At 35.7% G+C, this 27,518-nt stretch overlaps 2 protein-coding genes across 17 annotated transcripts in view, besides 1 other annotated feature; one reads left to right on the forward strand and one right to left on the reverse strand.

Moving 5' to 3' along the window:
- CHODL (chondrolectin) overlaps positions 1–12,980 on the forward strand; it is a 350,031-nt gene extending 337,051 nt beyond the window's left edge. For 5 of the 9 annotated variants that reach the window (NM_001204176.2, NM_001204175.2, XM_047440682.1 and 2 more), the window contains 5 exons: positions 2,119–2,428; positions 2,580–2,737; positions 5,810–5,896; positions 8,401–8,503; positions 11,564–12,980. In NM_001204176.2, the coding sequence (NP_001191105.1) occupies positions 2,163–2,428; positions 2,580–2,737; positions 5,810–5,896; positions 8,401–8,503; positions 11,564–11,648 (699 nt within the window). In that variant the 5' untranslated portion in view covers positions 2,119–2,162 and the 3' untranslated portion in view covers positions 11,649–12,980. The remainder of the gene's footprint in view (positions 1–2,118; positions 2,429–2,579; positions 2,738–5,809; positions 5,897–8,400; positions 8,504–11,563) is intronic. The other 4 variants (NM_001204178.2, NM_001204177.2, XM_011529453.3 and 1 more) reach the window with 1 other exon arrangement.
- Positions 6,889–7,390: an enhancer, noted in NCBI's record as "NANOG hESC enhancer chr21:19633596-19634097 (GRCh37/hg19 assembly coordinates)". NCBI's record gives its function as "activates a minimal SCP1, AML or CMV promoter by ChIP-STARR-seq in naive H9 embryonic stem cells {active_cell/tissue: H9 hESC(naive)}" and the evidence as "EXISTENCE:reporter gene assay evidence [ECO:0000049][PMID:30033119]".
- Positions 14,726–27,518, reverse strand: part of TMPRSS15 (transmembrane serine protease 15) — a 216,769-nt gene continuing 203,976 nt past the window's right edge. For all 8 annotated transcript variants that reach the window (NM_001428057.1, NM_001428056.1, XM_047440913.1 and 5 more), the window contains 4 exons: positions 26,650–26,831; positions 24,574–24,669; positions 20,807–20,946; positions 14,726–15,734 (listed from right to left, as the gene is read on the reverse strand). In NM_001428057.1, coding sequence (NP_001414986.1) covers positions 15,579–15,734; positions 20,807–20,946; positions 24,574–24,669; positions 26,650–26,831 — 574 coding nt within the window. In that variant the 3' untranslated portion in view covers positions 14,726–15,578. The remainder of the gene's footprint in view (positions 15,735–20,806; positions 20,947–24,573; positions 24,670–26,649; positions 26,832–27,518) is intronic.

Below are 27,518 nucleotides of genomic sequence, written 5' to 3' on the forward strand. Positions count from 1 at the left end.
AAAATAGGGCAAGACTCAGAAAGTAGAAGAGGCTATGGACTATGGAAAGCAGTCTGGGCATAAGAAATAGTAACAGAGAGGGATCCTTGGCGGTTTTAAAAGTTGACAGCAGAGAGCAGAGGTGAACAAAAGCAGAAGCAGTGAAAATCAAAACAAGACAGAATGACCATTCTGGAGATTGTTTATAATCTTGCCATACATTCTTAGTGGTAAACAAGGGTGAGTGTAGACAATAGAACAATAGAAAGTCCATTGCTTATAGAACTAGCTAAATCCTATACACCGTAATATCCTTGACATCAATCTATTTATATCTGTTTATCGTCTGTCTATCTATCTATCTAATCTGGCATATATATGTAAATATAAATATATACGACTTTATTATGACCTGATATGCATATTTGCAGTTATTTCACTTGATAATTAGGAAAATTAGCACTGCTTAACATGTAGAGGTATGCGAAATTTAATTTTGAGATTTTTTTTTCAAACTCTTTTTGCCTATGTGTTTAAGACTTCACAGATGTTATTAGAGCAGAATTTCATTATGACGTCTCAAAAATTCTTTTAAGCTTGTTTGTGATTCTGGCCAATATCTTGAAATAAATTGATTTTCAGTATACTACAAATAATGACTTTATTGGGTATAGTATAGACTGTACATAATCAATAGATGTCAGGATAGGTGGTTAGGTGGTTAAATGGAATGCTGTAACATGAAAACCTTTAAGATACAGGTTTAAGATAAAAAATAGATTTTAAACTTCCCTTCCAAATTCAGAGTATTCTATGTATGTATTTATAGATTTTAGATATTTGGTTGGTCCTAATCTTTATTCCTGAAGAAATATGTAATAAAACCACCAGTAGTAAGATTAACTACAGAAAAAGGTGAATTTAAATGAATTTGTATTTAAGTTTAACAAAATTCTGAGTTAGGGAAGGTTTAAAAAATGTAATACTATTACTTTCAAACTCATAAACGAATGAATGGAACATTTCTAAGGTTAAATTAGAGGAAGACATTGTTATTTCATATGTGTTTAATATATAAGTAGAGCCTCTAAAGCTGAGAGAAATAATTTGTTTTCAAGTCTGCTAAATGTTTATTACCTTAATTGTTTTGAGCTAATAATTTAACTGTCTTTGAAAGACCAGTTTGGCCAAATTTCAGCCTACTCAGGTCTCCATCCAAATTGTAAGAAATTGACAACAACCATTGATAAGATTTTACTAGCTCTTTTATTTCATGATATATTCATTCCACTGTTCTCTAAGCCATCATTTTTTTCACATTTAAAGTATATTCCTTTTTTTAAAAAAGTACTTAATTCTTTAAGTTCATAGTTGGGAGATTTTAATTTGCAATTTATCACTTATCAGAGATGTCTCTGTAAAATGAGAGAAGACATTGGCCTAGGAATTGGAGTTTACACACAATATCTCCCCAAAGACCCCAGAAAATACTCAAAAAATTGGTAATGAGATTTTTTCAGAGATAGTGAGTACTTTAGAACTCTATCTTGTCACTTCCAATGTAATATTATATTAATTAATCGTTTATTACTACCAATTACCTTCATTCTGTCCCCTTTTAACTTTCAATTTTAATAGATTTGTTTCGGGTATAAAAAATGAAAGCAAATATTTATACCTTAAATCTGCCACTTTGTATCTTCTTCAGAACACCTTACATAAAATTGTTTCATTATATATTACTTGTTTTTGATAATTAATTTGCTTTATGAATTGTTATTCTTCTTTCATTAAGTTTTAGCTCACTTTACTATACACTCCTGAAATTCCTTTAGCTATTTTCATTTGCTTTGTTAATTGGTTTATAAAATCTAAGCCAGAAGAGTTATAACTTCCCTTACAAACCTTGCTTGAAGTACTGGGTTTAAAAGTTTATGTTGCAAGTTTACGAGGGAATAAATTTGCTTTTACAAATTGCAAGCAATAGGCTAGAAAATAAACTTTATGAAATAATTCAGTGGGAGAAGCATTTCTGGTAATGTATTTTCTGCTTTGACTGGTTCTTACATTTTGATTCTTAGTGTTGTTACAAATAGAGTTCCGATTATCAATATATGGGCATCTTTTTTTTTTTTTCAGGCCAAAAGGTGTGTTTTGCTGACTTCAAGCATCCCTGCTACAAAATGGCCTACTTCCATGAACTGTCCAGCCGAGTGAGCTTTCAGGAGGCACGCCTGGCTTGTGAGAGTGAGGGAGGAGTCCTCCTCAGCCTTGAGAATGAAGCAGAACAGAAGTTAATAGAGAGCATGTTGCAAAACCTGACAAAACCCGGGACAGGGATTTCTGATGGTGATTTCTGGATAGGGCTTTGGAGGAATGGAGATGGGCAAACATCTGGTGCCTGCCCAGATCTCTACCAGTGGTCTGATGGAAGCAATTCCCAGTACCGGTGAGTATGGATCTTGAGCAGTTGGCAGGTGCTCTGGGGAACTCCAAAGATAGAGGGAGGACTCTGTTACCTGTAGAGGATGTCAGAGTAGGACAGGCAGAATCATTTAGTAGGCATGTATCTGAGTGTTCCTATTACTCTCTGTTTGCAGAAACTGGTACACAGATGAACCTTCCTGCGGAAGTGAAAAGTGTGTTGTGATGTATCACCAACCAACTGCCAATCCTGGCCTTGGGGGTCCCTACCTTTACCAGTGGAATGATGACAGGTGTAACATGAAGCACAATTATATTTGCAAGTATGAACCAGGTAAGCAGTAGCAAAAGAAGGTATAGAAGATTTTGTGCATGTTTAATTGTATTAAGTTTTGTCTTTAATTTTGACTACCTGTGGCTCTTTTTGTTTTTCTGCTGTGAAATAGAAAATTACCTTGCAGTTTCTCATATCACTCGTGTAATGAAGCATATCATATGCTGTAGAGCAAACTGTCCAATGAGCTCAAAGAAGAGAGTAAATAAAAACAGCTGGAGAGATGTCTTTAAGAAAAAATAATCATTTCTTACAATAAAACCAAATATTTTTGTAAATAGATTTTATAAACAATAAATATTTTAAAATATTTTAAACATTACTATAATATGTGGGAAGTAGATGTAAGTTACCAAAGCACCTATAGACTTACACATGTGAGCAGCACTTCTTTATCTGACTTTAAGAGAACAAAGCACTTTCTCCTGGATCATTTGCTTATCATTTTATGGTATAATACTTGACATGTGGTACTCAGTAAAAAGAAGACTGTCATAGCTCATTGCCCCATAGTGGAAAAAAGTAGGAAGATGTGACTCGTTCTCCCTATGATTCCTATTCTTGAAATATGTCTCCTCAGTTAGCTTTCTTTTGAAATCTCCCACTACTTGTCATATGCAGCAAATGGGAATCTTACATTGACTTGAGCTATACTGGCATGGGTTCTGGATTTAAAAAATAGTCCATTTGAATTACTTTAACTAGGACGGATCGTCTGAATTCATATTTGACTGAAAGAGGGACTAATACAAACTCTGTGGACTCATTTTTTAAAATCATCTAGAAAGTCAAGTTAGATCCTTAGGCTTTGAGATTTTTTTTGCTGTTTTTCTCCTCCTCAGTGTTTGGAAGTGTCATTTTAACTCTTCTGAAGAGGTGTCTGCTTGAACTCATAATACGTGTTCACAGAAGGCAATTATAGTTGAGTACTGCTGCTTCCATTATTCTCCTGAAATTACATGATTCTTTTTCTCATAATACCAGAAAACACAAGGGATTATTTGGATTAGACTTACCCTTCTCTTACATTTATCCTGCTCTTGAGTGTATTAGCCACCTTTTTTTTTATCCCTGGTGAGTTTATTCTTTAACCATCTTGGTTGCTAAACCCGTCATTACCCTCCTGGAAGTCTTTGCAAAGCTGAATCTGTTATGCGCTTATGTCCTCTATTTTTCTCTTGGAGAAATATAAAGTTGAAATCCTCTGATATTTTAAATTTGTGACATTCTATGTACTTAAGACTACTGGATAATACAAGTACAATATTATGCATTATTCTTAATATTACATTATCGCCTTCTCCTTTCTTTTGAGTTCAAAGGTCAACTATTTGACCCTTCATTGTATTATATTTATTTTATTTTTGCATCAAAATTTATGCCATTATTTAGGACACTGTAAATCTTACAATCTTCTTTACTTGTTTATGTATTAGGTAATCTAGGTTTACATTACTCATGCAAGAGCATTTATGATATAAAATTATTCTTTCTTTATCTTCTCCATTCTACCCAAATCTTCAAATAATCTATATTTATTAAAATATTATTTTATGTAGTTTTTGTTTTGAAGCACATTCACGGGTTTACTGTTGGCCTTATTAATGTGCTCAGGATTTTTATTTTTTATTTCATGATTTAATCTTTTTTGTCTTTTTATTTATATTTAGTTAACCCTCCTTGAGCTTAGTGTCTGCTTAGTAAAGGATGTTGGTTTGATTAAATTCCTTGGTTATGTAATCAGTGCTTGATTTTTAGTGATATTTTGCATAATATTTATATTATTTGTTTAAAAATACCAGTTGACTAGGCATAGAGTGACTAAGTTCTCTAGAAGAGTAGGTATAGTCTAGGACTGAATCTGAAACCCAGAGGAGGCTATTAAAATGTCAGAGTTAAATCTGTGTACAAGAGTAACAAATATTTCTACAGAATGGATTATGATTAAACTTCCAACAAAGGGGGACTCTGTGACATTTTAAGGCAATGTAAGAATGGTAAACATTAAATTAAAATTCTTCTCTATCCTGAAGACTATATAAGAACATGGGTTCTTATTTCAATTGATAAAAGTAGAGAGTTACACTTTTGGAACAAATGGAAACAAATTTACAGGCTTTTTTTTAAATAATTCAATTTATTTTCATTGAATTATTGATTTAACAAATAGTTCCTTAAGGAAAAGAAAAATAGAAAATAGAGCAATACGAAATCATGACAATAAACTTCAACAATTTTAAAGTGTGTAGCAAGAGAAAAAAAAGCCAGGAATAATAGTTAATGGATGCTGGGCTTCATACTTAGGTGATGGAATGATCTGTGCAGCACCGCACCATGGCACACGTTTACCCACGTAACAAACCTGCACATTCTGCACATGTACCCCTGAACTTAAAAGTTAGAAGAACAATAAAAAATAAAGTGTGTGGAAATTGAAGAGACATCTATAAAACTAGGGAAAGAAACAACTTGCAAGCTTTAATTTAGTGTTATTATTATTATTTTTAAAAGTAGACACTATTGGAAAGCAAATCTAAGGATGGCATTGTATATGCAGAACAGAAATGTGGCTTAGAACGTTGTTACTTGAATCATCAATTCCAAATGCAATCCACATACAGTCATCTGCTGATTATTATTGCAAGGGGAAACCCAAATAATACACTGATATTAGTAAAGAAATTATCTTGCTTGTCTCTGAACTGCATTTAATATATCACACTCTTACGTTTGCCAATTCTTGGTTATCCTTGCTTAACTTTGTGACTGGTCCGCCATTATTGCCTGCAGCAGGCTATCATCAGCACAGACCCACTGTTGATTGCTAATTGCAATTTGGAGTTTTAAGGGAGAACATATCAACTCCATCTTTTATTCAAAGAGAATTAAATGTTGACTTTATAGTTAGATAATTTCATGTAAATTTAAATTCAGAATGTATTTTATTAGCTGTAAGCTGTTCAGAAATCAAAATTGTGATGTTTTTATTTTATAATATAATTTCATATTTATATATATTTTCAATTCTCTTGTTTAATCATTATATATGATGGTGGTTCTTATTATTTACAGAGATTAATCCAACAGCCCCTGTAGAAAAGCCTTATCTTACAAATCAACCAGGAGACACCCATCAGAATGTGGTTGTTACTGAAGCAGGTAATTACTTCATGTGTCTTTAACTTCATCAAGAACTGAACTGTACTTTCAAACGCTGCTTCATGTTGACCCCAGTGAAACTTGTCTTGCCTGGGGAAGTGGTTCACTAAGTATGGTCCTATGGACATTTACTTTTGAACTAGGTTAGAAAAAATTATGCTAAGCTAGTATTTGAATAGAAAAACCTGTTTTGTTTTCTTCAGAGTGGTACTAAACTAAGTGATCCACATTAAAATTTGGATCTGGCCAGGCACAGGGGCTCACACCTGTAATCCCAAGAATTTGGGAGGCTGAGGCAGGTGGATCACTTGAGCCCAGGAGTTTGAGACCATCCTGAGCAACCTGGTGAGACCCCATCTCTGCAAAAAATACAAAAAACTAGCCTGGCGTGGAGGTACACACCTGCAGTCCCAGCTACTGGGAAGCTGAGGTGGGAGAATCACCTGAGTCTGGGAAGTCGAGGCTGCAGTGAGCAGTGATCATGCACTACAGTCCAGTTTGGTCAACAAAGTGAGACCCTGTCTCAAAAAAGCAAACAACAACAACAACAACAACAACAACAAAAAAACACCACCAACAACAACAAAAGAACTTTGGATCTACAAGAAATTTCTCTAACAACATGTAGGCGTCATGATGCAAATTGGCACATTCAGTGGAGAGCAAACAGGGGTGGGCTGGTAAATGTTTAGGGATTGGTTGGATCCTTAAATTGCTTGAAGTCAAACAGGAGTGGGAGGAAACAGCAAATTATCGCTCAGATACCCTATTGCTCATGAGTTTGTCTTCTGTTAACAAATGAAGTGATGCGCAGTTAAATGTAGATAAAAGCTTTATCTACATCTGGTCCACTTTGACCAGAATTATTCAGATTAGTCATGATGATGACTTTTAATTTACAAGCTAAATGCATAGTTCTTGAATTTGCTTTTTTTGCATAGACATGATATTAAGGCTTAGTGCTTTTCACTTTTCAGGTGCCTGGTTTTAAAACCATTCAGAACATCTAAACCTAATTACATATGTAACTAACCTGCACAATGTGCACATGTACACTAAAACTTAAAGTATGATAAAAAAAAAAAAAAAGATCAGTAGGCTGGGCGCAGTGGCTCACACCTGTAATCCCAGCACTTTGGGAGGCTGAGGCAGGTGGGTCACCTGAGGTCAGGAGTTCGAGACCAGCTTGGCCAACATGGCAAAACCCTGTCTCTACTAAAAAATACAAAAATTAGCTGGGCGTGGTGGCAGGTCCCTGTAATTCCAGCTATTTGGGAGGCTGAGGCAGGAGAATCACTGGAAACTGGGAGGCAGAGGTTACAGTGAGCCAAGATTGCGCCATGCACTCTGGCCTGGGAGACAGAGCAAGACTCTGTCCCTCCACAAAAAAAAAATATTCAGTAATCACATTAGAAATACTTTTTTCTCTTTTGAAATTGAGCAGATGTTTATTAATTTTAAGTTGTATGGAATTACAGTGTCACGGTTTTTTAATTTTACTAAGAATACCTAGCATTATCAAATGTGATGGAACAGGATTAAAAAATGATTCATTTTAGAATTTAATTAAGATCAAGTCTTTGTGCCGCTGGAGTCTCGTGTCTCTGAGTCGTGACTGTATCATCAGTTAATATTTATATATTTCATTTTAATCCCAGTGACTTGTATGGAATCGTGACACTAAGCTTATTGGCTAGGTAATTACTTACCCAATATATTTACAATAATCTTAATAATTATTATTTTTAATAATAAGTACTTATTTTTGTAAGTAATGATTGAGAAGGAGTAATGAAATGAGTTAGCTAAGGTTCTTAATGAAAGCTAGTCCATGTCTGAATTGTAGATTTAATAATAGTTTTGGAAGTATGGATATCAAATTGGAACAGTTTGATATCACTACAGATCAGTACAATTCAATTTTCCGTTCAGTAAAATTTTGTTTTTAACTTTTACCAAAACATGAATACAGTCATGTGCCACTTAACAATGGGGACATGTTCTGAGAAATGCACCATTAGGCAATTTTGTCATTGTGCGAACATCATAGAGTGTACTTGAACCTAGGTCATATAGCTTACTACACATCTAGGCTGTTTGATATGGCCTATTACTTCTAGGCTACAAACCCCTGCACCATGTTACTATACTGAATGCTGTAGACAACTGTAACATAATGGAATTTGTATATCAAAACCTATCTAAACATAGAAATCTATAAAATAGGATATCAAATATAAAAGATGGTATACCTATGTAGGGCAGCTCCATTATAATCTTATGGGACCACTGTCACATATGTGATGCATCGTTGACTGAAATGTCACTATGTGGTGCATGACTGTATATTATTTCATTAGATTTTTCAATATTTTGAGAAGAACTTTGGGGTCAATTTATTGAAAATTCTATTTCACCTGAATTTTTTGAAACATTCTTACATATTTTTGCTTTAGAATTCTTCCTCAACTATCTTTTCACATGAAGACTGTTTTATTTTGTAGGTATAATTCCCAATCTAATTTATGTTGTTATACCAACAATACCCCTGCTCTTACTGATACTGGTTGCTTTTGGAACCTGTTGTTTCCAGATGCTGCATAAAAGGTAAATAACTCATATATGTAGAGACAATTTGAAAAACTTTAAATAGGTTTTCAGAAATGTTTTAAAACTATTAGCATAAAGTTAATTATATTTTAATTTTCCTTAAGAAATCCTATACATACAATCTAATAAGATATACATTGAGGATAGAATTAATGTAATATATTATTTAATCCTTACAGGACTTATTAAGCAGTTACCCTTCTGTTTGTATTTCTCAGTTGAGAAGATGGTGTCTTAGATGGGTTACCTAGTCTGCCTTGGGTACCATAGTTAGTGTCCACGGTGAATCTGAAATTTGGATGTTTGTAAACTTCCAACATATGCACTATATTATACTGTTTTTTGTTTATGAAGTATAAGAATTAATGCTAAACTTTTCAATCTAGACATCAAGCTATATGTAAGACTTGATATTTGTAGGTTCATTTTGTATTACTTTTCAAAATTCAAGTCACAGGTTTCTGTTTTATTTCAAAAAGATCTTTTAAGAACAGGAAATAAAATACAGCGGTTCAAACAGGCCACTTTTTGGCAGGTATCTTGAAATAAAATCCTATATTTTACCAGCAAGATTTCTGGGGGAATATTATGACTTTTTATCTGCTTTCCTGTACCCTTGGGTTAGAGAAGTTTTTCCATGTGTGCCAATTTTTTAATAAAAATGAAACAAAATTCAATATAATGAAAATGTATTTCATTGTCAAATAAAAAATGAAATATAAATATGTATCAAAAGGAAAAAAGGAAAAGCTATTCTGTTTATATAAGAGCATGTTTGCTAGAATAAACTAGACATCTTTGTCTGCATGGTTTAAATAAGAACTGATCAAGGGGATGCCTCCATCAGGAAGGACCTGCAAACAAATTCATTTTCCTCTTTTGACCTTACTTCATCTTCTTCTTTTTCTGAAATAAACCCTACCATTAAGCAACAAAAGACCCAGAAAAAAATTAAGTAATTCTGAAATGAAATACTAATTCTACACAAAAGCCACATTAATAACCTTTTTTTTTTTTTTTACCATTTAGACCACTTTTGTGCTTTTTATAAACTTTCTTGGCTTATTTTCCATACATGTTAGATGACTGTAGAATAAAGTTGTGCTGATCTTACTTATTTGGATGAAAATCTACAAACCATACAATTTGGACATAATATTTTATTAGTAACCAAAACAGCTAAATCTAAGTGAATTAAGTAATATTTTAAAAGGGTAATGGTCAGGTGTGTTTAGAAATAGTTCTTTTTTCTCTTTGAGGGAATTCTGCAATGTCTGGTAGATGGAGGAGGGGATGGGGAGACGCCTGTGAGGACTGAGGCAGATGCTGGGAACTGGGGCTGGGATGGTCAGGGAGCAAGTAAGTGCACAACACAGTGAACCGGGACAAACACTTTTGGTCCAGGCAGGAGATTATCTTGAGGAAACCAGCCCAAAGAAATCTACTTTTGACAGGGCATCCAGTAGAGAATGACTTGGGTGGATCATCTGAGGTCGGGAGTTTGATACCACCCTGACTAACATGGCAAAACCCCATCTCTACTAAAAATACAAAAAATAGCCAGGCGTGGTGGCGGGCGCCGATAATCCCAGCTACTTGGGAGGCTGAGGCAGGAGAATTGCTTGAACCGGGGAGGCGGAGGTTGCAGTGAGCCGAGATCAGGCCACTGTACTCCAGCCTGGGCGACAGAGTGAGGGTCTGTCTCAAAAAAAAAAAAAAAAAAAAAAAGAGAGAGAGAATGACTTGGATAAACTCAGGAACAGGGAACTTCTGCAGGTGCCTGAAAAGTTATCGTGTTGTGGAAAGACAGAAGATAGCAGAACCCTAGGCACAGGCTGGAAATGTGGGCCAGAATTCCAAATGTGACAAGGGTGAAGTTGTATCTCAAATCTGGAGGAACTCAGAAACTGTTATGTTACCAAAGCATGAATCTGCTATTGAACCACATTGGTTTCAGAGACTGAGGCACCAGTAAGCTTCCAGAAATCAAGTGACTTAGGTGCAGAGCCGGAGAAGCGATGGGAGGAGGGGAATAGGCACATCCATACACATAGTATAATAGCATTGTTTTGATGATTTGACATTAAATTCAGCATCCATTAGTGACAGGGGACTCAAGGAGCAAAATGATTTCCAAAATAATTGATCAAAGAAAATAAAGGTATTTATTGGTGAATAAAACGGAAATGTTTAATATAGTGTCAGGCACATGTTTGTAGGTGTGGAACCAACCCAAATGCCCATCAATCAATGCGTGGATAAAGAATCTGTGGTATATATATGTATATATATATATACACACACACACACATATATGTATGTGTATATATATATGTGTGTATATATATATGTGTATATATATGTGTATATATATATGTGTGTGTATATATATACACACACACACACACACACACATATATATATATGATGGAATACTACTCATCCATACAAAGGAGTGAATTAACGGCATTCACAGCGACCTGGGTAATACTGGAGACTGTTATTCTAAGTGAAGTAATACAGGAATGAAAAACTAAGCATCGTACATTCTCACTCACAAGTGGGAGCTAAGCTATGATGATGCAAAGGCATCAGAATGACACAGTGGACTTTGGGGACTCAGAGGGAAAGAGTAGGAAGGGGGTGAGGGATAAAAGAATACAAATTGGGTACAGTGTATACTACTCAAGTGATGGGTGCACCAAAATTTCACAAATCACCACTAAAGAACTTACTCATGTAACCAAACACCACCCGTTCCCCCATAACCTATGGAAATAAAAAATTAAAATAACAACAGCAACAACAAAAATGAACTCTAAATTAGGAAATGTCAAACAGGAAAAGATATGTTTTGTTTTCTCTATCATTCACAAGAACTGTTTGCCATCTTCACATATTTGAATAATCTAGAAGTTTTTGGAAGAATGGGAAAATATACTGCTGAGAGGGGGAGTCTTTCATAAATAACTGTCTGAGATATCTCCCTTTGGACGTAGACATGCTTAGTTTAATAAGAAATTTTAGGCACTAAACATTTTTTCTTATGTTTTTCAGTAAAGGAAGAACAAAAACTAGTCCAAACCAGTCTACACTGTGGATTTCAAAGAGTACCAGAAAAGAAAGTGGCATGGAAGTATAATAACTCATTGACTTGGTTCCAGAATTTTGTAATTCTGGATCTGTATAAGGAATGGCATCAGAACAATAGCTTGGAATGGCTTGAAATCACAAAGGATCTGCAAGATGAACTGTAAGCTCCCCCTTGAGGCAAATATTAAAGTAATTTTTATATGTCTATTATTTCATTTAAAGAATATGCTGTGCTAATAATGGAGTGAGACATGCTTATTTTGCTAAAGGATGCACCCAAACTTCAAACTTCAAGCAAATGAAATGGACAATGCAGATAAAGTTGTTATCAACACGTCGGGAGTATGTGTGTTAGAAGCAATTCCTTTTATTTCTTTCACCTTTCATAAGTTGTTATCTAGTCAATGTAATGTATATTGTATTGAAATTTACAGTGTGCAAAAGTATTTTACCTTTGCATAAGTGTTTGATAAAAATGAACTGTTCTAATATTTATTTTTATGGCATCTCATTTTTCAATACATGCTCTTTTGATTAAAGAAACTTATTACTGTTGTCAACTGAATTCACACACACACAAATATAGTACCATAGAAAAAGTTTGTTTTCTCGAAATAATTCATCTTTCAGCTTCTCTGCTTTTGGTCAATGTCTAGGAAATCTCTTCAGAAATAAGAAGCTATTTCATTAAGTGTGATATAAACCTCCTCAAACATTTTACTTAGAGGCAAGGATTGTCTAATTTCAATTGTGCAAGACATGTGCCTTATAATTATTTTTAGCTTAAAATTAAACAGATTTTGTAATAATGTAACTTTGTTAATAGGTGCATAAACACTAATGCAGTCAATTTGAACAAAAGAAGTGACATACACAATATAAATCATATGTCTTCACACGTTGCCTATATAATGAGAAGCAGCTCTCTGAGGGTTCTGAAATCAATGTGGTCCCTCTCTTGCCCACTAAACAAAGATGGTTGTTCGGGGTTTGGGATTGACACTGGAGGCAGATAGTTGCAAAGTTAGTCTAAGGTTTCCCTAGCTGTATTTAGCCTCTGACTATATTAGTATACAAAGAGGTCATGTGGTTGAGACCAGGTGAATAGTCACTATCAGTGTGGAGACAAGCACAGCACACAGACATTTTAGGAAGGAAAGGAACTACGAAATCGTGTGAAAATGGGTTGGAACCCATCAGTGATCGCATATTCATTGATGAGGGTTTGCTTGAGATAGAAAATGGTGGCTCCTTTCTGTCTTATCTCCTAGTTTCTTCAATGCTTACGCCTTGTTCTTCTCAAGAGAAAGTTGTAACTCTCTGGTCTTCATATGTCCCTGTGCTCCTTTTAACCAAATAAAGAGTTCTTGTTTCTGAAGAATGATGACTAGTCCTGTCTAAACCTCTTTTATGTGAAACAAGTACAGATATGTTTGCATCGACGTATAAAGTTGAAAACAAATTACTCTTTAAGTAAGTGTGGTAATAATGGAAGGCGTGATTATGTCTAATGTTTTTCCTGTCAATTCTTTTCAGTTAAATAATATTTTCCTCAACACAGTTCACAACTAGCATTGGTTGGCAAAGCTAGGAGGCAAAAGAGAAATCAATGGGCATTGCCCATTTTCAGCTGCTCAGAGACTGAGAGAATGAGCAGCTGCATTTGAAGCTGAGATCTGCCAACATGCAGCACTCCTCTTTCTTTTCTTGGCTACCTATATCATCTATCATCTTTCTGGGTAGAACTGGAGACCAGTTGCTGGGACGTAACCTTTTTCCTCCAAACTACTATCATGTAGTTCTGCCTCTAGTGTGAACATACTGGAGGAAAACTGGGTGTTCCCCCTTGTCTTTGCCACCATGGACTATAACAGCTGCAAGGCAAAAGCAGCAAATAATCAATGGAGAAATGCCTGGCTTTTGCCTTTGGTCTTTATCTAGGTCTGGGTAACTCTTCTGGTATCACCAACTAAACCTATAAGCTACTGGAGGTGGAAAATGAACTTCTCTTTTATTAGAAAATGGTAGTAATCCTAGCTTCTTAACAGTTTCCTAAAATTTTAGCTAACCTTTGGGAAATGAAAAATACATGGTGTATCTGTTGCGTTAGCATTTTTAGAATATATTTTTGCTATATGTTTTGAAATGCAGAAGAAATGTGGAACAATCTTCAGGTACTAAAAAACAAATAATACCCTGCTGGTCAGTCTATCTTTCCCAACTGTTGTTAGAATCAGACCATTGGAAAGGTATTAAAAGGAATCGTGTGTTTAGTGGTGATACGATTTGGCTGTTTCCCCACCCACATCTCACCTTGAATTGTAATAATCCCCATGTGTCAAGGGTGGGGCCAGGTGGAGATAATTGAATCATGGGGGTGGTTTCCCCCATACTGTTCTGATGGTAGTGGATAAGGAAAGTGGAAAGGAAATGGAAGAAGTTCTCCTGCATACGCTCTCTTGCCTGTCTCCATGTAAGACATGCCTTTGCTCCTCCTTTGCCTTCCACCATGATTGTGAGGCCTCTCCAGCTATGTGGAACTGTGAGTTCATTAAATGATGTCTTTCTTTCCTTTATAAATTACCCAGTCTTGGGTATGTCTTTATTAGCAGTAAGAAAATGGACTAAAACACGTGGCTCCTAATTTTTGTCCAAAGAATGAATTCTACAATTTCTTAACAGGAATTTGCATTCGTCCATCATCTGGCCACACCTTCTTCATATAAAACATTTTTTCCCCTTTATCTGACTGTTTCCCAGAGAGAGAGTCTTTTGGTATGACAACACATTATTCTCTATTTAACTGACCCCCACCTGCACAGTAGATCCTCAATATCCTCTTCAATGCCTCTGTAATAATTATTCTTTCCAGGTGTAGTTCAAATCTCCTTTATTCCATAAGGCCAAGCCATACAATTGGTCCCTTCCTTCAATTCCTTTTAACCTTACTCTCTCTCTCTTCTATTAAATAATTGTCCCATGCAAGCATGTGTGTGAAGGTGCGTATGTGTGTGTGTTTTTTATTAACTATGAATTTTTTCTCCCCAGATACATCAAAAGATTCTGTGTGGTGAGCTAAATTGAAGTCAGCACTTATTCTGGAAATGATCCAAGGGATTAAACAAGTGAAGCAAATTCATTTATTACACATATTTGACCTTCTCATGGGTGATTCAGCTGTGTCTAAATAAGTTTTCATATATTAGAAATATCCACTGTAACACACATAAACCAAGACCAGGATTTGCAATAGGTGCATTTCTTTGGTATGTCTGATTATTTTCTTGAGACTTAAAAATACTTGCTTGAAATAAATAGGTAAAATTTATCTAATATACAATGACTATATCAGTTAATTTATCTTTTATTTAATTAACTTATTTAAGAGGAACGTAAAATCAATTTAGTCCAGGCCTGTGACATAAGCTTACAATAAATAGTTTCTATTGGTTGGGAAAATACTAAGGTTATGCATATGTTGAAAATTTTGATAGAAAAGACAGAGAAACAATTGAGTTTCTGCTAATAGCAGCAAACTAAACTGGAACTAGAAAATTTATGGCAGTTTATTTCCAACAGTGACATACTTTGGGAAAAACAATTTATTTTCTTTCTTTTTTAAATTCTGCTCAAATTTCTTAAGTGTATGGTATATGCTTTAAAATAACATCCCTTTAAACAACAGTAAGTAATAAAAATAATCATTAAGAATTTTAAAAATGAGATCTGTGAAGAAATACCTGTTCACAATGAAATACAAATGTATTTAATGGTATTTTAAAGTTATTCTGTATTGCTATGGTGAATTTTATTATTTTTAAAATTTTGTTTCCCTGGCCCCCTAGCATTTCATTGACATAGGTAAGAATAAAAACCTTTGGTAACTTTTTAAAATTTTTGTACGAAACACTTAATTTCCATGCTTTCTAGAGTAGAATGGGAAAATAATGCGACTTTCCTGTTTAGTTTAAGAAATGCGCTAATGTAGAAAACTTTGTATCCATTCGGTAAACCTTGAGACCCTGGCATACACTCCGGGGCGATTAGGCAGGGCACACTTGTATCCAAATGAGGTCACACCAGCAAGGAACCACCTGTTGTTTTCTTGGCACATTAATGGTCCTCCTGAATCCCCCTAAAGAGTGAATTGCAAAACAAAATTGTAGATATGTGGTCAATTGATCGAAACATATAAAATTATTTGTATCAAATAAATTAAAAAATAAAAATTAATTAAAAAATATGATTTAATTGCAAGTCATCTGTATATATTCTCACTTTCACTCTAAGTCAGGAATGAGAACCTCAGTAAGGAGACAGAGAAACTATAACAACTAAGACATCATTTATAATTTTTACAGTGCACCTTTTTAGTAAAAGTTTCTCCACTTTAATTAGGCATTTTGGTGGCTACTAAGAAGTTCTTTAAAGCACAACTATGAAAAGCATCCCAAACAAAATATTTATTAACAGCCAATCACTTTATTTAAGGAGATCTGCTGTAAGTGCCACAAAGGACACTATGGAAAAGACAAATTATTTCACAATATACTTTTTGGAAAAATTAGGAACTCACACATAAAGTAGATTTTAGTTCTCTTGGGTAGTATTATCTTTTTGGGGCTCAACAAACACCATCCGATTTGAAAAACATTTCAACTGAAATAAGGAAGTCTGTGATATAATTTTTAGTGATAATTGCTCATGTTTTCATCTGAGATTTCAAACTAAGAAATATTTTTAATTTTTATGAATATTAATCACAGCAGATCCTAGTAAAGTAAATTTCATAGATTTTATTTGCACGTGATTCCTGTGTAATGCAATGATAATACAAACATATAATATCATTATTTAATGACATAAAATTGACAAGTATTTTTCCTGTATTAATTGGGCAAATCTTTTTGATTAATTTGTTTTTTATATTTATGAAGACATTTAAAGTTTTATGTGTTTTGAAATCACTGGTATAATAGAATATTTCAATCCCAGCTCGATGCTAGAAATTATCCTGAGAGACTTTTTGTCTGATCCTTTTTATCATCTTTGGGCCCTATATTTAAAGAAAAAAATGTAATCTATCAATGCACCCTTTTTTCCCCTCCATACACAGGAACATAAATTGCACTGGCGACCATAGGTTACCAACATTCTAGTGTAACAAATGTGTGCAAGGTGTTTGAAAGCAGGGACTGTGATTTCTATTTCTGCATCCCAAACCCTTAATCTGTAATTATAGGTTCTGAAATATTTATGGAACAGTTTATATTCAAGGATCAAAGTACATTTTATATGACTTGGAAATTATTAAAAATAAACTTCAGCTGTTTGGATATTTTTAAAAGGAGTAACTTGTTTTTTTACATATCTTCTAAAACAATTTAATTTTTTAATAGACAAGAGGATCCAGACAGAATAAGGATTTTACCCAGAACATACTGGGTCGGTTGCAGTTACTCAAGGATCCTGCGGCAGACTTGTTGCCTATCGGCTGGGTGGTCTACCTGATTGGGAGACCTCAGTCTGTTTCCATTACTTCTTGTCATCTAACTATAACACATCAGTTTAGTTATGTAACTTCTCCTTACCTTAATTTTCTTTTCTTTTCTTTTTTTTTTACATTTTACTTTAAGGTCTGGGATACACATCCAGAATGTGCAGGTTTGTTACATAGGTATACGTGTGCCATGGTGCTTTGCTGAACCTATTGACCCGCCCTCTAAGTTCCTTCCCCTCACCTCCTAGTCCCCAACAGGCCCTGGTGTGTGTTGTTCCCTGTCCTGTGTCCATGTGTTCTCATTGTTCAACTCCCACTCATGAGTGAGAACATGCAGTGTTTGGTTTTCTGTTCCTGTGTTAGTCTGCTGAGGATGATGGCTTCCAGCTTCATCCATGTCCCTGCAAATGACGTGATCTCATTCCCTTTTATGGCTGCATAGTATCCCATGGTGTATATGTGCCACATTTTCTTTATTCAGTCTATCATTGATGATGGGCATTTGGGTTGGTTCCAAGTCTTTGCTATTGTAAATAGTGCTGCAATAAATACACGTGTGCATATGTCTTTACAGTACAATGATTTAATCCCAGTAAAGGGATTGCTGGGTCAAATGGTATTTCTGGTTCTATATCCTTGAGGAATTGCCACGCTGTCTTCCACAATGGTTGAACTAATTTACATTCCCACCAACACTGTAAAAGTGTTCCTAGTTCTTCACAACCTTGCCAGCATCTATTGTTTCTTGACTTTTTAATAATCGCCATTCTGACTGGCATGAGATGGTATCTCATTGTGGTTTTGATTTGCATTTCTCTAATGATCAGTGATGTTGAGTTTTTTTTTCACATTTGTTGCCTTTCCTTAATTTTCTGATTTGTTCAGTGAAGATATTAATATTTCATTCTTCCACTGTCTTGGAGATATATGAGTACTTCAAAAATATGCATGGGACCCGGTGCGGTGGCTCACACCTGTGATCACAGCACTTTGGGAGGCCGAGACGGGTGGATCACCTGAGATCAGGAGTTCGAGATCAGCCTGGCCAACATGGTGAAACCCGGTCTCTACTAAAAATACAAAAAATTAGCCAGGTGTGGTGATGGGTGCCTGTAATCCCAGCTACTCGGGAGGCTGAGGCAGGAGAATCACTTGAATCCGGCAGGTGGAGGTTGCAGTGAGTGGAGATCATGCCACTGCACTCCAGCCTGGGCAATAAGAGCAAAACTCTGACTCAAAAATAAATAAATAAATAATAAATAAATACATACGTAAATAAATATTTTTAAAAATATGCATGAATTTACAGAACATAAAGTATTAACCTTAAATTTATGTTTCTAGTGAGATGCTATATTTATAAGTAAACATAAAAATCAGTACCTTCTTTGAGTGTCTGAGTGCAAGGGTTGGTGACCATTTTTGTTGAGAACATTACTTCTCATACTTTAGTGTGCATCAGAATCTCCTGGAAGATGTGACAAACACACATAGCTGGCCCCACCCTCATAGTTTCTGATTCAGCAGATATGTGATGAGCCCTGATAATTTGCATTTCTAGCAGGTTCTCAGGTGGTGCTGCTGGACTGGAGGCCACGCATTGAAAGCCATTGGAATAGAATATGGCTTGGAATGGTAGGTAGAGTGTCAGTCACTAAATTTTAGGTAGAGAAGATATTCTTCAGCCATTGGTGTTGCCTTGAAATCCAAACTACTACCACTAAAAGGCAAGCCTTTGGTAAGTCAGAAGTTGTGGATGACTAATAAGGCACATTCTTTGCCACTGTAAGGCTAAAAAATGATGCTTCAAAGAACTTAAATAATGTATCAGTAATAACGTGTTCACAATTTTAAAGAATGCATTCTTATTTAATCAGTTAATCCTGTTATAAAACATAGTATTAAAGTTGAACAAAGAAAATCATGTGACAGTCTAGTGTATTAATTACTCAATTATGATAACATTTTATTATACAAGGTATTACCTTATGTGGGAGACTTCTTGCTTACCAAGGAATAACATGCTTAGACTGTGTAGAATCAGAGCTAGCTATAAGATTTCAGAGACCTGGCATGAGTTAATGACTTAATGTAACCCTAAAATCAATAGCATCAGCCGTCATATTTTCTGCCTAGTGCGTGAGGTGTCTGCCACACAATCCCCATTAGCTGTAATTGAAGTTGTCCAGCTGATTTCCCTTCTGCGCAAGAATTCTATAGATCTCCTTCTAAGTGGCAATATATCTTACCTTTAGCACACTTTTCATTTTAAAAAAGAAGTATAAGACCCGAAGATAAATTTTAAACAAGAAAAAAGCCATCCTATTTGTCTTGAATTTGCAAGCATTTATCAAAGCAGAATAAATGTAAAACTAAGCTGGAAGTTTAACACAACTGAAGATATTGATTTAACTAGAGGACTTACATACAGATGATCTGAATAAGCGTCAATTTAGATGGCTCGTCATGTATTGATAGTATGACATATATGTGTTAATATATAAAATAAGTTGCTACACTTTAACACAGTGAAACCATTTTCCTATGACATAAACTGCTATTTCTTCATTTAGTAATTATTCGTTTGGTCAGTAATGCTAGCAGGTTTAATCCAGCAGACATTAAAGCATTGATATGTTATTAATTTTCAAATATAGAAAATATGCCAGAAAATTTATTTACTAAGCTTCATAATAAAAACTGTTAACATTTTTGAGTAATTGCTCGATGCCTTACATGGGTTATCTCATTTAAACCTCTCCATAAACCCTAAGTCACTTGCCCAAAGTCTCACCAATAAGTGTTAAAGCCAGGATCAAACAAGAGTAGTCTGAACATAGAATCCATGCTCTTCATGACTACCCCATGCTGTACCTAAAAATTAATTACAATTCTAAAATCTAGCAGAACTTCCCTTTTTATTTATTGTGTGTACTTGGATTTCATGGCGCTAATAGGAACATTACTCTTAGGTGGCAAGATATTTCAGTGAAGTTACTACGTGGGTAAGAGTTTTTTCCTAATGTCACACAGGTCAAGAGCCATTGACACTTCAAATTTATTGCAATATTGACATTAGCACTACAGCAAGTTCAAGTTACTACATTTCTAATATACAGTGTAAACGATAATATAAAAGCCAGAGCCAGGGTTATGCCAGTCTATTAAGTTATTTACTTCCCCTTTGGTTAGCTGTAAATTGACTCTAACGAGGCTATGCAGGTTTTCATCAAGAAATTACTTCAGGTTACTGCACGCCTGGATGATATTCTAAATTCAGGGTTGAAATTTAGAGGCCCACAGACTAAACTGGCCCTCAAGCCCTGTTTTTGTTTGTTTGTTTGTTTTAAGTTTGCATGGGGTTTAAAATAATTGGAAATTTGAAAAGAAACTGCTTTTAGATAAGGTGCACACTTTCTGGCTCAACCCAGGTCCACTGCTCATTTTAGCTGGCTGCCTCACACATTCAAGTATTATGTCTAGTCTCCAAAAGCATCGATTTGTAACCTATTTTCTTAAAAAATAATTTTTGTTTCCAGTGCTCAGGTCTACCCAAGAGGATTACGCAAATAGGCAAAAAGTAACAGTTTTGTAAAAGAGAAATGAAAGAAGCTTATTTCTTTACTCCCTAATTATTGTTAAGCAATGAAATAACTATAACACCAGTGCTTTCTGAAAAGGTACAGTGAGCAGTTTTACATCTTTACCTGACAAGAATCTATTCCTCCTTCTTCATAGCCTGCACATATCATATTTTCAGTAATGTTATATTCTGGCATCTGCTGTTGGCATCTCTCATTTGATAGAAGAGGAACATCAGCTTCTTGCAATATGTTTGCAGTAGTACCTGCTCAAAATGGAGAATGCAGCCAGCCAGTCAGAAGTGATCAACATGCATCCTTGAATGAACTACCATCAGTCCTATTTATTCCAACATTTCACTCTCATTATCAAGTACTGTGTATATATAATGGAACTAAATACTAAACCTTGCACACTAAAGCACATAATAAAGCCCATCTGTGGATTGTGCCAAATGGATAACAGGAAAGCTCTTCTTTTTTACCGAAGGGCTAGTAGGAGCGATGGATTAGACTAGATGGTCTTTGGGCATCTTCTGTGATTTTAAACAGTTACAGGATTGCTCATGGGGGAAAACGCTCCCCAACACAAAGTGTTTCATTCATGGAAATTAGCAACAGCTCAGAAATCCAGAAGTGCTTTTCATTTGGCACCTGAGGAGGTGCTCGCTTCTGTATAATAGCATTCAGCTTCTTTGTGGTGCTATGTGAGTGAGCAGGTGCACATCGAGCAGAGGACAAAGCTCAGATGAACTATGCCCTGGTCTAGGGGCAATCAGCTTGTCATGCATACCCAGGTGAAGAGAAAGGAGGCATTTAAAAAAATAAAGCAGAGTGTACTTACCTGCTTTTTACAAAATGATTCATCCACTAGAAGTACGAATCTCTGCTGAAATACTAATCCCAAGAGAGATGTGAAACAAGCAGGTGTCTAGTGCCCCAGAAAAGGTACATGATAAGCACTTTCTAATAATTAGCATTTCTATTTTGTTCCTCAAGAGAGGCAGAACGTTGAAGAGAAGTTAGTACATTTGACAGCCATTGATGCTGAAAAAATTTATGTGACCTCATTTCTAGCTAAATTTAATTCATGCACTAAAAAGATGAAGGAAGCAAAAAAAGTGTGTTCGTGCACACGTGCACGTGTGTGTGTAGTTAAATGCAAAACAGATATATATGACTCAGTAGTGCATTGGTAAATGTATATCAATTTTCTCTCCAGAAAAATGAAAGCCCCATGGGCCTTCCTCTCATTTTACTGATGTAAACACTTCCACAATGATCAATTTCAAGGTACCAGCATGGCAGTGAACATGGAGTAAACATTACTAGATAACTTTTCAAGTTTGACAATGGACTATAAGAAAATGAATTGCAGAGATTAAAATGGAGGAGAAAATTTGGCATCTCACTGTTATCCATTCTATGAGGATCAAGGATGGCTTGGCAGACTTTAATTTTACAATAAAAACCAAGGCCACTTCTGCTGCTTGTCAATGATTTAAAATTTGTTTGGTAGATGATAAAACTGTTTGGTAAAGGAACATTTGAGCAGTGTCTGTTTACTGATTGCCTTGATTTAACCAACTAGTATCACCTCATTTCTTCCTAGTGAACAATATGTTCATGGTTTTCCTAGCTAATCAATTAGTATAATATACTCAAAAGATTGAAAACTGGGATTCTTTTTTTTTTTTTTTTTTTTTGAGACGAAGCCTAGCTCTTGTCCTCCAGGCTGGAGTGCAATGGCGCAATCTCGGCTCACTGCAACCTCCGCCTCCTGGGTTCAAGTGATTCTCCTGCCTCAGCCTCCCGAGTAGCCTGGGATTACAGGTGTGTACCACCACGCCTGGCTAATTTTTTTTTTGTATTTTAAGTAGAGACGGGGTTTCACCATGTTGGCCAGGCTGGTCTCAAACTCCTGACCTCAGGTGATCTGCCCGGCTCAGCCTCCCAAAGTGTTGGGTTTACAGGCATGAGCCACCGCACCCGGCCAGAAAACTGGGATTTTATGAAATTAAGTAGATGGAAGTCATAAAGCAAAGTTCATAAACTACGTGAAACTTACCATCACTCAAGAAATATTTAAACATGATCTAGCTGTTTATTCCTAAATGAAATTGATCTCAGATACAGTTTATTTCCTGGCTCCATACCACTCTTAGAGACTTTCTTAAGTTAATCAGACATATATCTTTAGTAACAATAAGTAAACGTAAGTCACATTTACTCAGCTTTTAAAAAAAATCCAAAAACAAAAAAAACTTCCTATGAAATAAAGAGTTTCAAATTTTGTTATTGGTTAATTTGTTTTTGAAGAGCCTACACTGTGGTCATAAAATGTCTTTTAGCTTGAAGTCTGAAAAGAGAAAATATCTATCTAGGAATCATTTTTACTGTTTAAATTTGAAGTTTAATAAATCATAATATTTTTCAAGAGGGAGAAATATATGAATATACAGTCTTTGACTTCAATATACTTGATGGACAGCAGACATGAGGCATTTTCAGCAATACAGTGTCATTGCTGTGAAGAACTTTTGTAGGAGTTATCAGAAAAGCATTTGACTTAGAACTTTGTGCTTTCTCTTATAATAGGTAACGACATTTTAAATGTGAGTACTTTGATTCTGAGACCCTCTACCTTTCCACAAGATTTTCTGCATTTTCATCTTAAATACATTTAGGACTTTTAAACATCATGGCTATAATTTGTTGTGACTGCAGGGATCAGGTTCTCTTATCAGACTACAGAGCCTTTTCTGGTGCTTTATTATTTATGAGTGGTTAAAACTCTGTCCCAGCTAGGGCACTCCTATTAGAAATTCCACAGCCAATGAGCCTTGTGGTTACATTTAGAGGGTATGAAGTACGAGAATACTTTTCAAAAAAAAGTATGATTATTTTTAATATGTATGATTTCTGTGTTTGGAAAACATGCAGTTGATGCTGGGGGTGAATGGTGTATCAACTGATGGATACAATGTAAGATTCATGTCAAATCTGAGCCCTCTTGTCAGTAAGCAGAATTAGCATGTTCAAGTTACAAGAGATTCCATTCTCATTTTAAGAAAATGTTGAGTGTGAGGCCTTCACATTATAAATAAAGATAGTTTTATTAGTTTGGAAAATGTGACAGGTAATAATTTGGCTTTTGATGAGACTTTATCATGTGCTTTACAAAAATAAATTTTTGTAACCCTAGTTTATATTCATTTTAATGAGGCTTTTAAGTTTATCAGAGTGTTTATAATACTAAAACTAGATATTGAGGTTGGGGACACTTGAATTCCCCGTCAAAAGAATATAGTTTTATAATATCTTCTATGCAATCTGAAGAAATTTTTAAAAACTCTACAAATATATAGGCTGGGCGCGGTGGCTCACGACTATAATCCCAGCACTTTGGGAGGCTAAGGCAGGCGGATCACGAGGTCAGGAGATCGAGACCATCCTGACCAACATGGTGAAACCCCGTTTCTACTAAAAATACAAAAAAAATTAGCCAGGCATGGTGGCAGGCGCCTGTGGTCCCAGCTACTTTGGGAGGCTGAGACAGGAGAATGGCGTGAACCCGGGAGGTGGAGTTTGCAGTGTGTCAAGATGGCGCCACTGCACTCCAGCCCGGGCCACATTGCGAGACTCCGTCTCAAAAACAAACAAACAAAATCCTACAAATATAAAAACTCTGCAAGTATATCTTTGAAAGCTCTACAGATACACAACTCTAAATATATATATGTACATGCTTGACGGTACTTTTAGGAGATATTGAAAAAACTGTTATATAAGAATTGCAAAGATGTTGAAAGCATTCACAGGATATTATGACAGTCTGTTTTTCACCAGTAAGGTTTTTTTTTTTTTTTTTTTTTTTGAGTCTGATAATTTACCTTGATATACAACCGTCCCCCAACCAGCAATAGAACAATTTCTTCCTGGAGGAAAAACTTGATTTTCTTCCGGTAAACAAATAGGTTGTATGTAATCTGGAAAAACAAGCAAACAGCAAAACGAACAAACGAAGAAAAAGAAAGAACAGATTTACAAGCATTTCTAACAAGTTTTAAAAATCAATAACAGTTAATCTAAAAAACATGTATTTTTTTTTTTAATCCTACCTGTAAAAATTTTAGACATCGGTCTTAGGGGAAATAGGCATTTCAGAGCAGCACTTTTTGACAATAGATCGGCTACCACTGGTGGCCCTTTAGGGTCTTTTACTAGTCTCCTCGTTACTCTTTTTTTTTTTTTTTTTTTTTTTTTTTTTTTTGAGACGGAGTCTCACTCGGTCGCCCAGGCTGGAGTGCAGTGGTGCGATCTCAGCTCACTGCAAGCTCCACCTCCCAGGTTCACGCCATTCTCCTGCCTCAGCTTCCCGAGTAGCTGGGACTACAGGCGCCCGCCACCACGCCTGGCTAATTTTTTTGTATTTTTTTTTTTTTAGTAGAGATGGCGTTTCACTGTGTTAGCCAGGATGGTCTCGATTTCCTGACCTCGTGATCTGCCCACCTCGGCCTCCCAAAGTGCTGGGATTACAGGTGTGAGCCACCGCACCCGGCCCTCATTTCTCTTTTATAGTGTAAAAAATGTCTTAGTTCTGGAGGTAATCATTTATATTTTATTTTTAAATAAAATTATGGTGCTCAATAGAAAGTGGTGCCAGTTCTCTGAAAATTATGGTAAGGATGATTTTCAGCATCAATTAATAGAAATTTGGGCAAATGTTCTGAGACTTTTTTATTTTCCCCAATTATCACCATGTTAAAAAAGCTTTTAGGAGATTGTTTTACAGGGCAATTATGGAAGCATTGACATTGGTCACTGACTTTTAAAGCCCTTCTTGCATCAATTTACAAGCCAACTGGCACCCTTAAGCACCCACTGCATGTAAGACCTAGGGCAGACACAAAAATGAATAAGACACAGTGCTTATCCTTAAGGACAGGGATATACAACTAACCGTAGCAATAGTCTGCTTTTGATAAGTGCTGTAATGCATGTATAAATCAAACCCCATGAAAACACAGAGATGGCAGCACTTTCTCCTAACCGGGCACTGAAAAAGACTTAGGAATAAAAGTCAGAATTGAGCAGAGCCCTTCATGATAAAATTCACTTTATCAGGGGATTTCTTGCACATTTTCCAGGCATTTGGAGGAAGTCCTTCATTTGTCACTCAGATAATATTATCGAATCTCCATTAAAAACTTCATCCTATGAAGGCCGGGCACGGTGGCTCACGCCTGTAATCCCAGCACTTTGGGAGGGCAAGGTGGGTGGATCACAAGGTCAAGAGATCGAGATCATCCTGGCCAACATGGTGAAACCCCATCTCTACTAAAAATACAAGAAAAAAAATTAGCTGGGCATCATGGCATGCACCCGTAGTCTACCTGGGAGGCTGAGACAGGAGAATTGCTTGAACCTGGGAGGCAGAGGTTGCAGCGAGCCAAGACTGTGCCACTGCACTCCAGCCTGGGCAACAGAGCGAGACTCCGTCTCAAAAAAAAAAAAAAAAAAAACAACAAAACAACAAAAAACCAAACTTCCTTCTATGAATAACTTAATTCTTGCTCACTTTCCCCACAGAACATGTGTTCTTCTCTCAGTTTATGTCTTACTCTGCTTTTTGGTAGATGAACCTACCTTTCTTTTACATGAAAAATAGAGAGGGCATGCATAATAACATCATCTATTTATCTGAGCTTCTCCTTTGAGTTTACTGTTATACAGGGCTCAGAGAGTTTTATTCTACTGGTTCTTTCTGGAAAGTTGAATTTAAACATCCTGATGAAAGAAATTTAATATATTTCTCTCTACTCCCTAATCCCATTTAAGTTCCAATGATTTATGTAACAAATTATCTAGCTTTTATGAATTAATGCATTGACATTGATAATATTTGAAATCTAGTTTTGAATTAATTTTGGCAGATAAGATGACTAAGAGTGATTTTTTTTTTTTACCTGTGTAATTCACTTTAAATTCCAGATGCATCATGGCAATGTCGTTGTCCTTTCTTCGCCTATTGTAATGAGGGTTTATGACAATTTCATCTATTAATCGAGGGACTGTTTGAGGAGAGGTCAGATTTGATTTCATATGCAGGCCTAGGATTGCTGTCCACTTGGATGGCTCTAAGTTTCTCCTGAAAATTGTAATGAAGAAATATGAGACACTCTCCATCCAAAGCAGTTCCTTTCTAGAAGATCTTCATCATGACATTTCAGAATATGTTTCTATCCTGAAATGTTCTTTAATTTCTCTGAAGAATCATCCTTTAAAAATATTCTCAAATCTTTATTTTTCTGATCACAACATAAAGAAAACCCTAATTAGTGCTAATCTCTCTGTTTCACTCCTCTTAAGTTATATGCTGAGCTCTAGTTCTAGATTGTGGTTCTCAACTGTGGTTGTACATTGCAATCTCGTGAGGTGCTTTTAAATAATGCTGACACCTACTTCCCCTCCTCCCCCGATTCTAATGTACTGGGTCTGGAATAGTCCACCAGACAATTTAAAAAATACTTCTAAAATTAAATCTCCAAATTTGTGCTACTATATATAATATATGGCTAGGTTGGAGAACCTCTGCCTTAGGTCACATTTCACTGTGGAAATTGTGTCCCTGTTAAGGGCTTTTTCAGACAACTGTAGCTAGCAACTGTAGTATAATGGAAGGAAGTTCAGATGCATTTCCCATTTAGAGAGTCATTGAATTCACATATAGTTAAAGTAAACAAGCCAGGCGCGGTGGCTCACGCCTGTAATCCCAGCACTTTGGGAGGCCGAGGCGGGCGGATCACAAGGTCAGGGGATCGAGACCATCTTGGTT

Source organism: Homo sapiens, chromosome 21 (assembly GCF_000001405.40).
Source record: "Homo sapiens chromosome 21, GRCh38.p14 Primary Assembly".
NCBI lineage: Eukaryota > Metazoa > Chordata > Mammalia > Primates > Hominidae > Homo > Homo sapiens.